The following is a 17,581-nucleotide window of genomic DNA, read 5'->3' on the forward strand; positions in this document are numbered from 1 at the left end:
ACTGACATTTAAGCATAGAGATCAGACTCACCTTGACCTCTCATCTTTTTGGATATAGTGATCATATAGAACGTGATGATCCTCTCATCAACTTTTGGACCAGCTTTCCCCCGTTATTCCCCTCCCATCCATTATAAAAGAGACCTAAAATTTCTGATAACTTTTATCGAAATATAATCTACATACCAACAGTGCAAGAATTATAATGGATTTATAAGTAAATTATAGATTAATTTTTTTAAGTGAGCACACCCATATAACTAACACCCTTATCAATAAGTAGAACATTAAGCAGTTCAGGAACTTGCTTCATTTCCTTCCTGTCACTTCCCTCCCAAGCACTACCAGAATCTAGTGTCTAACATCGTTAAACAGATTAGGGAATAAGGAGACTCATACAAGGGTGATTTTTTTTTTCTTCTTAGAACTTGTATTATTTTAAATTGACAAATCATAATTGTACGCATTTATGGAGTTCAATGTGATGTTTTGACAAATGTTTATAATAATGTGATTCATTCAAGCTAATTAACGTATCTATTGTCTCACTTGACATTTTTTGGGGTGATACATTTGAAATTTACTCTCTTGGTTATTTTGAAATTTATAATATATTATTATTGACTATAGTCAAACAAAAACCCCAAAACATAACAAAATGTTGAGACTTCTAAGTCTAATAAGGTATGGAGGATGCAACGGAAGGCTTCTCCCAGGTGGGCAAGCCACCTAGCGATCCTGTGAGGTGTCATGGCAACATGTGGTAATATCTTTACCAGATGATGGATGCCTGCTTTTTTTTGTTTATGCTGTGATGTGAATGTGTGTGTGTGTGTGTGTGTGTGTGTGTGTTCTAACCATGTATTAAGAGAACAGAAATTTTTATTATCCGTGTCTTTATTTGAAAACCACTTGGCAAAGAGACATCTGGGGAAACGCGGCTCTATCTTTCAAAAGCAAATTTCCATTTTTACACATAGAAAAGAGATTTCGTGTGTGTGTGTGTGTGTGTGTGTGTGTGATTTGGTTTGCAATGGGAGCTCTCCAAGGCCCCTTTCTTATTTCATGTTTTAAAATGCTGTGATTCTACATCTCATCAAATATAATAGAAAAGTTCAAGTTTAATATATCTTACAAAAATTGCCTTCCTGTAGATTATGCCCTTCAGCTATCATTTTAAATTGTAATTTGCAATTTTGAAATTCTCCCATAAAAGAAGATGCTTTCTTTAGTCAAAATAGAAGTAACTTAATTTTTATTGTCTGGCTAAATTGATCCACTTTTCTTTTCTTTTGTTTGATGGACTTGTCATGAAATTGTAGAGGTGCACTGTTTTCTAAGGAAATGAATATATTCTTTGGGTCTCAGTGAGTGACTCTAAAATGCACTTATGGTAAAATAGCTATAATTCTGTTATAGTTTTATTCTTGAATCCAGTTTTTAAAGGACAATAAGTATTAATTAGTTCCAGTGGCCTTCAATGCAACTAAACATATATTTTGGAGTGTGTAATAAGTGTGATACACTGCAGACACTGAGATAAGGTAAGAAGGCACAGGGTCTCTTCCCTTAAAGAGTTCACAGAGGAGCAGGGTTAGGGAAAATAAGGGGTCTGGTGGGGTTGTCTTATGATAGATTAAATGAGTACTTTGGAGATTGCGTAAGTTGCCTTGCTGCATGCCTGTTAACTTAGTTCAATATCAGTGCTCGAAAACTACATTGAAAGAGTGGATGGCCTAGTGGTAGACACCTGGGGACAATTTTGTTTCATCCACATCTTTAGTGAGTTCTAGAAAACTTGAAAACTGTGTGCCTTTCATCTGCACTTTTCTCAGATCGCCTCTCCTTCCTGGATGGATGTGAAAATCATATGGAATTAAAAGGCCAAAACTCTTCCTGTGATATTGCAAAGTCCTTGTAAAAATACTTTTAAGTGGTATTTAAATAGCAACTTTAAAGGTAACAAAACTACGTATGATTGAAAGAAAAGTAAGACAGATAGAAAACAGATAGGTCAATGTAAATCATGTGCGAAAAAATTAAATGGAGAAGAGAAAGGCACTTAAACACAGTTCACATCATTCATTTTAAAATTCATCCAAGAGTAGTTACAACAGCTTGGGAATCTCTGTGGTTACTCTCTAGAAACAATATCTTGAAACTTGAAACTTATCTTGAAACAATATCTACTGATAACACAGCGGACTGAAGGACAATGACAAAATACCGTAAGGCACACAAAATAGCCACACCCAAATCTGAGAATTATTGCTATGTTCCCATATGAATGTCCTCAGGCTGCCATAACAAAATACCACAGACCAGGTTAAACACTGACATTTATTTTCTCACAGTCCGGAGGCTGGAAGTCCAAGTTCAAGGTGCCAGTACAGTTGGTTTTTGGTAAGCGCTATTTTCCTGGCTTGCAAAGAGGCATCGTCTCATTGTGTCCTTATATGGTCTTATCTCTGTGCATGTGCAGAGAGAGGAAGAGAGAGAGAGAACGCTGATATTTCTTCTTTTATTTATTCGGACCTCAGTCCTATTGGATTAGGGCATCACCTTTATCACCTCATTTAACCTGAATTAGCTCCTTACAGGGCCTATTTCCAAATACGTCCCATTGGGAATTCGGACTTCAACATATGAATTCACGGAAGACAGAACTCAGTCTATTAACAGTAGGCCTCATTATCATTCTCAGTACTAAAGTTCTAACATCTTAGAAAATCAACTTCATAAATTAGCTAAGGTGTCTGGGCCCAGATCCTTGAGAAAGAAAATTTTCGATAAAAATTGTTAATCCAAAAAATTAGCCCCTCTCATGTATCAGCATGATCTTGATTGGAATGGGAACGTCCTGCCGGCTAATTTGTTGAGCAATTCTGCACTTATTCTATCTGGCAGGAAATGGTTTAATTTATATTTAAACACAATTGGCCTCCGCTGCCTTCTCCTCCTGCTTCTCCTCCTCCTCTTCGTCCTCCTCTTTCTTCTTCATCAAATCCACAAGTTTCACCCAAATCGTTTCAACACTAACCATCTTTTCACTGGAACAATTCCAGCTTCAACAATGCTTTTCTCTCTAAAATGAAGCCTCACATAGGCAATTATCAGCATTTCAGGTTTTGAAAGCGACTTTCTTTCCCCAACTTGGGTAAATGAACAGGAAGCAGTTGTCACTTCAGCTACCATACTGTAAATTATTACGTGAATAGCCTTATGAGTCAAGTTTCTTTTGCACTCTTTGTGCCCTTTGCATGCAGGCATTTTTTTTTTCCATTCTCCCAGGTTGCTCATTGTGATTGTGTAGGACCCATTAACATGTTAACAGTAAAAATGCCTTTTATCATTTATTAATATTTGCCTTTTTCTTTGAAGTTTGTTGTTGTTGCTGTATTGGCCTTTTCTACTTACTCAAAATTAGTATGCAGACATTTTGAGGGTCTAACTAAGAAATACGCTTCTACAGATGGCATGAGACAGGGTGAACTGAAATGAGAATTGTATTTTGGATGAAGAAGATCTGAGTTTCAATTTTGATTCTGCCAAATACTATGTGTGTGTTCTTGGGAAAGTTGCTCCACCTTTTTTGCCTTACTTTTTAATCTATTAAATGGAGAGAGTGAAAACAACCTCACAGAATTGCTTTAAGCACCATAGACAAGAATATATTGCATTGCTGGGCATGTAGGGGGTGCTTAATAAATGGAGACTATTACAATGTCTTCAATCCTCATTAGTTTACAGACATTAAAGCAGTCGTATTCACTGCAATTTTCCTGATTGGAGCATAACACCAAGGGGGCAAATGTAGGTCCTCAAGTCCCTTCCTCAAGCTTCACACAATTATTTCCAGGATTCCTAAGGGGTAGGTCTCAAACTCACACATCACTGCTTTGGTTTTTGATAATCCTTCTAGTTGAGGGCCTCTACCTGAGAGCAGCTGCTGCATTGTCCATTGCAATTCAGTGCCAACTTTGCTGGGGGAATGTCAAAGATGAACAACACAGGGCTCTAGTTAAAGTGGTAAAGACAGATTTTAATCAATAAGAAGAGTTGCAATAGAGAAAAGAGTGCAGCATGTACTGAACTCAACTTCCATTTGTTCAGATGTGAATGCATGTTTTAAAGAGAGAGTAAGGGAATATGGAGGGGGGAAATGGTGGTGGAGGGGAGTAGTAGAGTCAGAGAAGTGAAAAATTACAAAGGGTTAGTCAGTTTAAATGCCATTAGGCCAGCTGTGTCTGCCAGCTAGCAATTAATCAAAGTTAGGATTCTATCTTCCCACTGAGACTGGAAGTCAGAGGCCCTATCCTTGGGTGTCAGCCACAACAAACAGTGAATCTTCTTTGGCAGCCTTGAGTTTTCTCAGGCAGTCACTTTAAAGAGGGGTAGGGTCATTTAGGGATGTGGCCTTAGCTGTTAGAAACTGTGCTAGTGTTTGCTCACATTTATAAGCCAAGGTTAGACCTAGTTGAGAGGAGGGCTCAAAAGAGCCTCACTAGAGTTTGGTAAAGGAATCTTTGGGTCGTCCTCCTTGAGCTTCCAAGGCTTCAAACCCTGGGGCCACTCAGCATTCCCTGGAGCCTCCGAAGCCTGCAGATGGAGGCCATGCTCTGTTCCCAAACCTGGGCCCCTGAACACATGTGCAGGGCACCTTAGTCAAGAGAATGACTTGGCCTGCCCCTTCTACCTTGGCATCCTTGTAAAAAGCCACTTTTTTTGCTTTTTTCCAATCAAAAATAAAATAAAAACCCATCATGGAGATTGGCATCTGGCAGCATGTCCCCTGATTTTGTCAAACTTGCTTCTTCATGTCCAAATGCCAGTTTCAGCCTAAAGTGGGTCTTCCATTTCATTGATAAATATAGGTATTCAGCCTTCTCTTATTTACTCTTTAAGACTACTAGATCTATCCCCCAGAGATTTTAGGTCAATTGATCATAGATTATTAAGAGCTGCTGTTATTTTAGGTAATTTTTATTCTTTGAAAAATTAGAATATTCTCTTTCTACATTCTGCTCCAGGACATGGATAGCCACCTCCCACAAGAGTCTCTCCCCACAGGATTCACTAGTCCGGTTCACACTTCCCTATTCCATGTAGACTGGGGGTTGTTTTCCAATTAGAAGATGTAGGTAAAATGTCATTGTCAGGAGGCTCCCAATTTCCTCCTATGTATCTCACTTAGAATCAGAATATGCTCTCATTGGCAGCTTCACTATGAACAGCCACAGTCCCCAGAAGTACAGCTTACAAACTAAAATGGAAAGGATACTTTTTTCTACTCAATTAGGTTTTTAAGGGGAAAATAACTTTTTTTTTTTAACTTAGAAATGTTAAATTGAAGAAGGAAGGGACCCTAAGTATGAGTTAATACCTTGGTTATTACGCTGTTTGTCTCCATTCACTGTTTAGAACTAGCCCTCCTTTTATACCCAGGTTTGAGTAGAATGTATTTGTCTGCAGCATGCTACCTTAGAGTTTAAAGCCCTCTGCACGGCTGTACTTACTGTGTTAAATCTGTGAAAATACATTTTAAATGCTTTTCTCAGCTATCAATGGCTTCATAGCATTGTAGCTTCAAATAATCTATTCACTGTGCTCCAAATGGAAGCAGAAGAGAGAAGCCACTCTTGGGGAGGACAAAAGAAAAGGATAATAATAGCTAACACTCATAACTTACATGCTTATCATGTATATTTACCTGCATATGCCCAAAATTATATATTTACCTATATATGCCCAAAACTCTTCTAAGCACTTTATATTCATTAAGCCATTTATTAAGTAAACTAAGCACAAGGATTAACAGCCTGAGTATTTTACTCTGAGATATCTGAGTTTAGATTTTCTAGCTGAAACAGTGGAATGAGGACCTTGGCAAACCCTCTTCCCTATAAAATAATAAAAATACAAGCAAAAAAAAATCACATACAATCATTTCTTTAAAACAGTGAGTCTGTGTCATTTTCACTTGGGACTATTCCCATCCCACCGCCATTCCCAGCTCAGTGGCCAGGTGACTATAAAATGCCTGCAGCCTGGCAGCCAACAGAGAAAACTGACCTCTTTGGAGCTCCATTAAAAGCTGCAGCTCCAGAGGATAGTCAATATGTTGATCAAATTAGCTGCTCTCCAGTAAATCCCCATTCTAAGGCAGGTTGTTTTTTCTATTTGATTTGACTTGAATCTCAGATCAGATAAAAAAAAAGTACTATCCTGAGGGCATGAATGAAAACAATAGCAATCTCCTGGTAACACTGTCACATAACAGCTGCCTAAGGCTGTAATTTCACTGGGGGCAAACAGAACCCTGGACAAAAATGTAAAAGGATGACTTAGAGAACTAGATGACCATAGGGAACTTTAAAAAGCTCTGACATATTTCTGAGACTCTAGAAGGGATGTGTGCCTGTGCAGGGTTATGCACATGAGTAGGGCGTGCCCAGGAAAGACCTGGGAAAGGTGAAAGCTCCAAACACTCAGCTCTTATTGACCTTGAAGTCATGCATAAGCAGGAGGTGAAAGCTAAAGCCGACTCCTATGCTGCCTGAAGATTGAAGGTGTGTCTTTGCATAGAGAGCTCCATGACTCCAGGCAGTTAAGGAAACCTGACAGATCAGTGGCTAATCCCTAAGTGTACTGACCCAGGAGTGAACTCTAACCCAGTCTTAAAACTGAAAATAACACTTAAATTAAACAAACAAACAAAAAATGCTAGTAAGGAAGTCATGGGCTGCATACTGCAGGGAATATAGAATCTAGAGGATTCCTCTAGGAAAGCTGATGACAAATAAGTAACAACAACAAAATGCAAAGTGGAAACAACCATTTTGTTAAGTGGGGTGAGGGGCAAAGGAGAGAAGTCTGATACCAGAGTTGCTACTATGTTATCTACAATGTCTCAATTTCAGCAACAAATTATGAGACATGCAAAGAAAGAGGAAGGTATGGCCCATATAAAAGAAGACAAGCAGCCAATAGAAAATGTCCCCAAGTAATTCAGATGTTGGCTTAACAGTTAAGGACTTTTTAAGTTAGCTAGTATAAATATAGTCAAAGAGCTAAATTATGTCTAAACAATTAAAGAAAATTTTGATGATGTTTCATTGAATAGAGATAGGATTATAGAAAGAATTCAAAAAATTCTTGAGTGGGGAAGTTCAATAATTGAAATGAAATATTGACTGGAGAGGCTCAACAGCAAATTTGACCTGGCAGAAGAATCAGTGAACATGAAGATTGGCCAGTTGAGATTATCCAGGTTGAGAAAAACAGTTTGGCAGTTCCTCAAAACTCAAACATAGAGTTATTATATGACATAACAATTTCACTCCTAGGTATAAACCCAAGTGAATTGAAAACATACATCTACAGGAAAATTTGTACATAAATGTTTATTGCACCATTATTTACAATAGCCAAAAAGTGGAAATAATCCAAATGTCCATCAATTTATAAATTGATTTTTTAAATGTTATATATCCACACAATGGAATATTATTCAACTATTAAAAAAATTAAGTAATGACACTGCCACCATATGGATCAACCATATGCTTAAAAGCACTGTGCCGGCTGGGTGTGATGGCTTACGCCTGTAATCCCAGCATTTTGGGAGGCCCAGGCAGGCAAATAACGAGGTCAGGAGATCTAGACCATCCTGGCTAACACGGTGAAACCCCGTCTCTACTAAAAATACAAAGAATTAGCCGGGCGTGGTGGCAGGAACCTGTAGTCCCAGCTGCTCTGGAGGTTGAGGCAGGAGAATGGCGTGAACCCGAGAGGCGGAGATTGCGGTGAGCCGAGATCGCACCACTGCACTCCAGCCTGGGAGACAGAGTGAGATTCCGTCTAAGAAAAACAAAACAAAACAAAAAAAACACTGTGCTAAGTGAAGAAGCCAGTCACAAAAGACCACATATGTATGATTCCATTTATATAAAATATCCAGAATAAGCAAATCCATAGAGACAGAAGGTAGATTAGTAGTTGCCTAGGACTGGAAGGGAGGATGGAATGGGATTTATTGCTAATGGGTGTGGGGTTTCTTTTTGGGGTGATAAAAGTGTTCAAAATTAGATTTTGGTGATAGTTGCACAATTCTGTGACTACACTAGAAACCACTAACCTGTACATTTTAAATGGAAGAATTTTATGGTATGCAAATTATATTTCAATAAAGCTGCTAATAAAAAAATTCTTAACCTCTCTGAACCCAGGATCCCACATCTGTATAATATTACACTGTGTGCTGAGAATTAAATGAGATAGTGAATAAAGTGCCTGCCAAAGCCCAAGACATAGTGAGTAATTTAGATAAGGAAGTTTTCTAGCAGTTTTCCATGAAATGTAACAGGAAAAAACAGTAATATGGTGGGTTTGATTGTTTTGAACTGTAGGATCTAGTTAAAATAGAGTTACGGTTTCTTCTTAATCAAGAAAGTATATCCCTTTTCAGTAGATATTAAAGACTGATATTTAGCCAAAATCATTCACAAGCTAAAATATCACTCTTCTTTTATATAAACAGTTTGCTTTCAGATGAACAGATTTCTTCAGGAATTTGAAGTAGTAAAATCTAAATATACGGACAAATGAGACTTCAACAAAGATTTCAAGCAAATAAATATATTGCTTTAAATTCACGTTGCATCTACAAGATGCACTAACAATATATTTCCAGTGAGAGTTGGAGTCAAGTATTTATCTATCAAATAAATTCAGTCGAGGTCTATAAGATGTAAAAAATAGTAATGTGTATTAAGAATCTCCAAAAGTATATGTAGTTGAATACATTCCCCATAATTTCATCATGGAATCCTTTTCCTCTTAAATATGCATATGTGACCAGTGTTCTATAAAACACACTTTGGAATACTGATATGCAAATAATATATATGAAATAACTCTGGGCCAGGCAGGGTAGCTCACGCCTGTAATCCCAGCACTTTGGCAGGCTGAGGAAGGTGGATCATGAGGTCAGGAGTTCGAGACCAGCCTGACAAGCATGGTGAAACCCCATCTCTACTAAAAATACAAAAAATTAGCTGGGCATGGTGGCGCGTGCCTGTAGTCTCAGCTACTCAGGAGGCTGAGGCAGGAGAATTGCTTGAACCTGGCAGGTGGAGGTTGCAGTGAGCCAAGATGGTGCCACTGCACTCCAGCCTGGGCAACAGAGTGAGACTCCGTCCCCCTGCCTCCCGCCCCCCCCCGCCCCGCTGCCAAAAAAAAAGAAAGAATTCTTCTCCACAAGTACCAAATGCACAAGTGGGCTTTTTTGCATCTACGAAGGCATACCTGTTGTCTTTGTGATGCTGATGAAAGGCATGTTCCTTATATCCAGGAAAAAAAGCACACTAATTTTGCCTGTAACTTCAGGTGTCTATATCTCCTCTCCAAGGGACATAGCTGGTTTAAAATTCTTCCAAAAAGTGAAGAATCTCCTTAAACTATGTGTCTCAACTTTTGCCGTGAAAATTAACAATCTTCGTAATTCCTTTCAATTTTCTGTGTTTCAGACATTAATGATGAGAGTTTTACACATGAACATTGCTATCTCAGTAAGAGCAATCTGTCTCATCTTTTCAAACAAAAATATGAAATTCTTAATCCTTTTCTAAAGAATATAAGCATTGTGAAAATTACATGATCAAAAATAACATTCACAGTAATACTGAAGTGTCTCAGTTCAGAAAACAATGCAGAATAATTACCTTTTGTATTAGTGTCACCTTTCATCCATACTCCTTGAAGACAACCAAACTTTACATTTTCCTAAAGTATTCTGGCATTTGTTCATATGCACTAAACTTGGGTTTTGAAAACTGAGTCCTTGTCCTCACAGATTCATTTTAAAACAAAAGATTTATCCACCACATCTTCCCTGGCTCTAACAAAGGAAAGGAATAAGTCAGAAAGAGGAAAATGTATCAGAGAGAAACTTGAGGGCGCCTCATGATTGTAGGGGGATTGGCAGATAGGCTTAAAAAGAGAAATGCAACACCAGCAAACTTTTTAAATTCACATATGAATCTACTATGTGTTTGATAGTTATGAGGGGTGTTTCCCATCAGCCACTGTTCTAGATATTCACAATAAAAAGTTGTTTCCTACTTGTGAGATGGTCTAAATCACTGTGTTCAATAGAAATACAAGGTGAGCCACATATGCAACTTTAAATGTTTTTAATTTACTTGTAAATTTGCATGAGTAAACTTAATTTCTTTTGATACACAGTTCTATGAGTTTTCACAAGTGAACGCTGTATTAATTTTCTATTGATTCCAGAACAAAATGCCAGTTTAGTGACTTCAGGAAAACAAATATAGTACCTGAAGGCTCTGTAAGTCAGAGTCTGGTAGGATTCTCACTGGGCTAATATCAAGTTGAGGTCAGAGCTGTCTTCCTTTATGGAAGCTCAGGAGATAATTGTTTCCTTGACTTTTTCCATCTCCTAGAGGCTGACCACATTCCTTGGCTTGTGGTTGCCTTGCAAAGGCAAGCTAAGTCCTTTTCAAATTTCCTCTTTTTCCATCTCCCTTTTTCACCTTTAAAGATACTTGTGATGATACAGGGCCTACCTGGATAATCCAGGATAATCTCTCTATTTGAAGGTACACTGATTAGAAACCTTAATCCATAACCTTAATTTCCCTTTGTCATGTGACCTAACATATTTACTGGTTCTGGGGATTCAAATATGAACATCATTGTCAAGGGCCATTATTCTGTGTATCACAAGGGCATGAAGTCATGTAAACTCCATCATGGTCAAGACAATAAACAGTTTCATCTTCCTCAAAAATTCTCTCTTCCTCCTACTTTGTGCTCAAATGCTCCCCCACCCTAACCTCTGCAAACACTGATGCATTATCGATTCCTTTTGTATGTCCCTTCGAGATGTCATATACATGGAATCATACAGTAGTGGTCTTTTGAGTCTGGCTTCCTTAAATTAGCATAATAAAATAATTATCCATCTCACTGAAAGTTTTCAATTGTTCCTTTTTATTTCTCAGTAGTCTTTCTTTAATCCCTTCACCAGTTAAAGGACATTAGGTTGTTTTGGAAATTATGAATGAAGCTGCTTATAACTATTAGTGTACAGGTTTATGCACCAACATATTTTCATTTCTCTTGAGAAAATACCTAGGAGTGGAATAGATGGGTCATATAGTAAGCATATAGTTAACTTTGTAAGAAACTGCCAAGCTGCTTTCCAAAGTGGCTGTACCATCTTACATTCTCGCAGGTGATCTATCTATGCCAGTTGCTCAAAATCCTCATCAGCATTTAGTATTGCTGTTTTTATTTATTATAGCCATTCTAATAGGTATGGAGTGGTATCCAACTGTGGTTTTAATTGGTATATCTTCAATGGCTAATGATGTTGCACTTCTTTTTACGGGCTTATTTACCATCAATATATCTTCTTTAGTGAATTGTTTAAATATTTTGCACATTTTACTTTTGGCTTGTTTTCTTATTAATGAATTTTTGAGTGTTTTTCATATGTTATGAATAAATCTTTTTTTCCACTCCTTTTCCTGAGCTGTAATAAATGTTCTTTATGAGATATTCTATTTGCTATTATTTTCTTCTAGTCTGTGGCTTTTCTTTTCATTCTCTAATAGGTTCTTTCAGGGAGCTAATGTTTTAATTTTGATGAGGTTGTATTTATCTTTTTTAAAACAGATTGTGCTTCTGATGGTGTATTGGAGAACTCTTTACTTAGTCAAAGATCACAAAGATTTTGTTTGCTTGCTTTTTTTATAGTGAATTAAATTGACTTACTTTTGAGTGTTGTATTCCTGGAATGTGCTCTACATAGTTATGAAGTATTATCTTTATCAAAATTGTTGAATTTTATTTAGAATTTTTACATGTATATTCTTGAGGAATATATGTCTATAGTTTTATTTTCTTGTGATGGCTTTGATTTTGATATCAAGGTTGTAGTGGTCTCAGAGAATGGATTGGGATGTATTGCCTCTTCTTCAATTTTTAGAAGAGTTTACCTGAATTGTTTTGATTTCTTACTTAAATGCTTGACTGGATTTACCAGTAAGGACATCTGGCCCTGGATTTATCATTGTAGGGAGGCTTTTAACTACAAATTTAATTTCTTAAGTAGATAAAAGGCTGTTTGCGCTATCTTTTTTTTTTTTTTTTTGAGTTAGCTTTTGTAGTTTAGGTCTTTCAAGAAATTTGTCCATTTCATATATATTTGTCCATTTCATATACGTTGGCTATCATTTTTTTGAGTTAACTTTTGTGGTTTAGGTCTTTCAAGAAATCTGTCCATTTCATATATTTGTCCATTTCACATACATTGTCAAATTTACTGGCATAAAGTCACTCATCGTATTCCCTTATTATCTTTTAAATATATACAGAACGTGTAATGGTCTCATTTCTATCATTCCTGACATTGATAGATTGTGCCTTCTCTTTTTTTTCACAATCATGCTTGCTAGAGTTTTATTATTTTTATTGATCATCACAGAAGTCCAGCTTTTTGCTTCAATATTTGTCTCTACTGTGTTCCTGTTTTTTACTTCTTAGATTTCAGCATTGACTTTATTATTTCCTGTCTTCTGCTTACTTTGTTTTTAATTTGCCTTTTTTCTAGTTCCTTGAGATGCAAACTGAAGACACTGATTTGAAACCTTTCTTCTCCTCTGTTATGGGTGGTTAGTGCTATAAATTTCTTCCTAAGTACTACATTAGCAAAGTCCTGCAAATTTTGATATGTTGTGTCATTCAGTCCAAAGTACTTTCTAATTTCTTTTTTGATTTCTGCTTTAGCTTCTGGGTTATTTTGATGTGTGGTATTTAATTTTTAGATACGTAGCAATTCTCTAGAGATATTTCTGTTATTGATTTCCAATCTATTCCATTGTGATGAATGAACATACTGAGTGTATTAGTCTGTTTTCATGCTGCTGATAAAGACATACCTGAGATGGGATAATTTACGAAGAAAAAGAGGTTTAATGGACCCACAGTGCCACGTGGCTGGGGAGGCCTCACAATCATGCCAGAAGGCGAAAGACACATCTTACGTGGCAGCAGGCAAAAGAGAACTTCTGCAGGGAAACACCCCCTTACAAAAGCGTTGGATCTTGTGGGATTTATTACTATCACAACAGCACAGGAAAGACCCATCCCCATGATGCAATTATCTCCCACAGGGTCCCTCCCACAACACCTGGGAATCGTGGGAGCTACAATTCAAGATGAGATTTCAGTGGGGACACGGCCAAACCATATCACTGAGTAGGACTTTAATTCTTTTAAATTTATAAGGATTTGTAATATAATGCAGAATATCTCCTATCTTGGTAAATATTCCATTCTTTGCACCTGCAAAGAGTGTTTTGTTGAAGTCTTCAACATACTTATTGATTTTCTGACTACCTACTTGATGTGGTTTGAATCTGTGTTCCCATCAAATCTTACGTGGAATTGTAATCCCCAGTGTTAGAGATGGGACCTGGTGGAAGGTGATTGGCTCATATGGGTGGAATTCTCATGAATAGTTTAGCACCATGCTCTTGGTGCTGTTCTCATGAGAGCGAGTGAGTGAGTTACTGTGAGATCCGGTTGTTTAAAAGTCTGTGTGTACTTGTACCCTACAACTTCAAGTATAATAATAACAGAAAAAAAAAAGTCTGTAGCACCTCCCTTCTCACTCTTTTCCTCCTGCTCCAGCCATATGAAGATACCTGCTTTCGCTTTGCCTTCCACCTGAGCAAAAGGTCCCCGAGGCCTCCCCAGAAGCAGAAGTCGCATGCTGCCTGTATAGCCTGCATAACAATGAGCCAATTAAACCTATTTTCTTTATAAATTACCCAATCTCAGGTATTTCTTTATAGCAATGTGAAAATAGGCGAATACACTAGTCTATCAGTTATTAAAGTGGAAATACTAAAATATAGGCTATAGTTGTGGATTTGCCAATTTTTTTCTTGCAGTTCTATCAGGTTTTTTTTAAATGCATGTTGAAGCTCTATCATTTTTTTTTTTTAGTTCTCGAATTTCCATTTGGTAGTTTTTTACTTATGTCTTTGCTGAGAGCTTCTATCTTTCAAGAGCATTAACTTTATCTCACAGAAGATGGTTATAATAGTTGCATTAAAGTCTTTGACAGACTATTCCAAGGCTTAGGTCATCTTATGTTTGGCATCTATTTACTGTCTTTTGCCTTGAAGACAGTAAATTTTTCAGATTTTTCTCATTCTTATTATGTCACATAATTTTGGATTGTATCCAGAACATTTTAGTTTCATCTTGCAAGTTTGTAGGTCCTGTTATAATCTAAAAAATGTTAATTTTTTTTAGTAACTGATAATTAACATGATTAGCTTCAGACTGTCAAGAAGTTTCACCTTCAATGATGGTGGTCCCAATGTCAATTCTGTTTTCAAAGTCTTTACTGTGCTCTTTGGGCCAGGCTGATGCACGCTGCACTTGGAGAAGAGCCTGAAATTTGAGTCATAGTTTATATTGTAGTTCAGCCCTCACAATCTTTGCTATGCCTTGGTGTTGTTCCACACATACTTAGCTCAGGGTGAGTCCAAGAGTTATGTCATTACATACCCGAAATTTGGAATTCTATTTCTTCAGCTCTTTCATCTCTGAATTTTCTCCCACATGTTCCCATAATCAATGACCTTTTTCCCCTGGTATCTCTAGCCAGAAAGATTGAATCTTCTTAGATGTTTAGCCTCTCACAACGTCATGTACTTTTGAGTAAATAGGGTTACTTTAAGGTTAAGTGGAAAAAGAAAAGAGAATGAGAAAAATGGCATGGATTGTACACACTCTGGACAATAGGAGCTTCTTTTTAGCTCCTCTGGCTAGAAAGACAAGCCTTCTGCCATGGTTTTAGGTTTTTCTTCACTGCCAGACATCTATGCAGCTCAGTTACTGAGCTGCTCTGGGCAGGGTCTGGAGGTAAATGATTTAAAAAAGGAGATGGGGGATTCTCCCCACATTCTCCAGCATACAGAGGTCCTTTTTACTTGTCTTTAGTCAAAAAGAAGGGATTCTTCCCTAAAGCATTTGCTTTCAGCACCTGCTGTGCAGTTCTAGGACTTAAACCCCCTCTTGAGACAATGCTGACAGACAAAGAAAACAACAACACGAAACTCACCTGCCATATCCCACCCCTCTGCTCTACCCCTTTTGGGTCATTACTCATGTTTTGACATCAATCTTCAACCCACTTGCTGTGGTTACTTTGCAGAGATCTTGGGCAGTTCTATTCACATTCTGCCCAGATTTTTTAGTTGTAATCAGTAGGAGAGACAGACTACACTAGACTTGTTCCTTAGCCAGCCAACATATATAATTTCAACGAGTTGGCTTCTCTCTTACTGGCTATCTCACCATGTGACAGGTCTGCTCCCCATCACCTTTTGCCATGATTGGAAGTTTCCTGAGGCCCCACAAGAAGCAGATGCCAGCACTATGCTTCATGTACAGTCTACAGAACTGTGAGCCAAAATAAATCTTTTTTCTTTATAAATTACCTAACCTTAGGTATTCCTTTATAGCAATGCAAAATGAACTAACACAAGTACACAGTATATATCCTATATGAAAGTTTTGTTTCTACATTTCTGTCCCTGTAACATCATACTTATACTTATTTCAAGGTCTTCCTCATCAAAGGGGATATGCTATTATGGTACTAGCCACAAATATTTATTTATTTTTGCAGTGCCTTATACCATGTAAGCCACTTCTGAAGGGATAAACTAGAGAAATGACTTCTGTGGTGCCAGTCTCGACCTCCTGACCTCATGATCCTCCCACCTCAGCCTCCCAAAGTGTTGGGATTACAGGCATGAACCACCGCGCCCGGCCAAGTATCTTATTTCTTTTTCTATTTGATAGCTAATCGTCAAGAATCATTTTGGAATGCTTCTTGGCAAATCTGTATGGGATGATGGCCATAAAATGAGATCTAAAACTGAGCTGCATTTGAATAAGAACTTAGCCTCTGTATTAATCCTCTCCTCACCCCCTAAGCATCTCTTACTTGGGTATGACAATCACTTTAAATTCCACAAAGCAAGGAAACTTAGAAGCAAACAGGCCCTTCTCCAGGATTTGGTAAGTATCTAGTCCTGAGCTTAAGTGGGGCCCCACCATGAATAGGGGACCAGTTTACAAAACATATACATAATAGGATCTCAATAATTATTTCTTTGAATAAGAAAAATATGCTATGTTTGCTATCACTATTCACAGACCAATTCTTTTTTTTTTTTTTTTTTTTTTTGAGACAGGGTCTCACTCTGTCAGCCAGGCTGGAGTACAGTGGTGCAATCTTGGCTCACTGCAACCTCCGCATACCAGGTTTGAGCAATTCTTGTGCCTCAGCCTCCCAAGTAGCTGGGATTACAGGGACACACCCTCACACCCAGCTAATTTGTGTATTTTTAGTAGAGACGGCATTTCACCATGTTTCCCAGGCTGGTCTCGAACTCCTGGCCTCAAGTGATCCACCCGCCTTGGCCTCCCAAAGTGCTGGGATTACAGATGTGAGCCACCATGGGCAGCCCATAGACCAATTATTTAAAAATCATGTAGGCATTCTCTTAACCAGAGAATGTAGGTTTCAATATCCTGCTATTCTATAACACAGAAAGTTTCCTGAATTTCTGGAATATGTAATACCTTCACCTCCGAGGTTTAAGAAACTACATGAAGATTCCATCCTTAAATTATAAATGTACAGTTTTCATGGTAATCTTCCTGGTATTTTTAAGCAATAATAAAATACTTCCAGAAAAAAATAATACGGTCCAGGTATGAATACTGCTCTGAAGAAAGAAGAAATTGGCAATCTTAAAAGCGGAAGAGCTCCTATATATCTAAAACACTAAAATCTTCCAACTGACAATAACACTAATATGTGAGTTCAAGTGGTTTATTTGGAGGCAATCCCAGGAAACATTAGTAGGAGAGCAGCAGGAAGACAGAGCAAGGAGGAAAGGCAATCTTTTGTGTATTAATAGGCAGCTTATCACATGAGCAGCTAGAGCTCCATCCAACTGGGGACCTTTGGAAGAGAGTGTAGAACACATCTTATTCAGAGTTGTCTCACTTGCGGGGTGAAGGTTGAAGACTGCTCCTTGGACAATGCCTTCTCCATTTCCTCATACTTCACCTGCCTGTGATTGGGCCAAGCCTGGTTCCCATTGCCCAAGAAAGCTCTCAGGAAGATGCTCAAGTGCTTGCAGTAAGAAGCAATCAGCTTGCAGGGGATGGTGAGGGCCACTAGCTTCGCCTCTGTCCTCTTTGTTTTTCAGTGTAGATGATAATTGCAGGAGACTGATGTAGTCCTCAGCACAGGCCACGAAGAGACTGTTAGAAGGAAAGTGGAGGAAGATTGATTATTCTGATGACTCTTCACCATGTAATCTTGTATTCTGATGACTCTTCACCATGTAATCTTGTTGAGTATAAAGTCAACCCTGAAGAATGAAATCACATCTTTCCTGTTTTGATATATGCATTGCCAATAACTAACACAGCTAACTAAAAGTTATTTTCTCTC

General features: G+C 37.8%; 1 long non-coding RNA gene across 1 annotated transcript in view; it reads right to left on the minus strand.

Annotated features, from left to right (window-relative positions):
• Positions 16,936-17,581, minus strand: part of LINC00687 (long intergenic non-protein coding RNA 687) — a 60,729-nt gene continuing 60,083 nt past the window's right edge. Inside the window, exon 2 of the long non-coding RNA NR_110635.1 lies at positions 16,936-17,388. This is a non-coding gene — a long non-coding RNA (long intergenic non-protein coding RNA 687). The remainder of the gene's footprint in view (positions 17,389-17,581) is intronic.

The sequence above is a fragment of the Homo sapiens genome, chromosome 20 (assembly GCF_000001405.40).
Source record: "Homo sapiens chromosome 20, GRCh38.p14 Primary Assembly".
NCBI classification, from domain to species: Eukaryota; Metazoa; Chordata; class Mammalia; order Primates; family Hominidae; genus Homo; species Homo sapiens.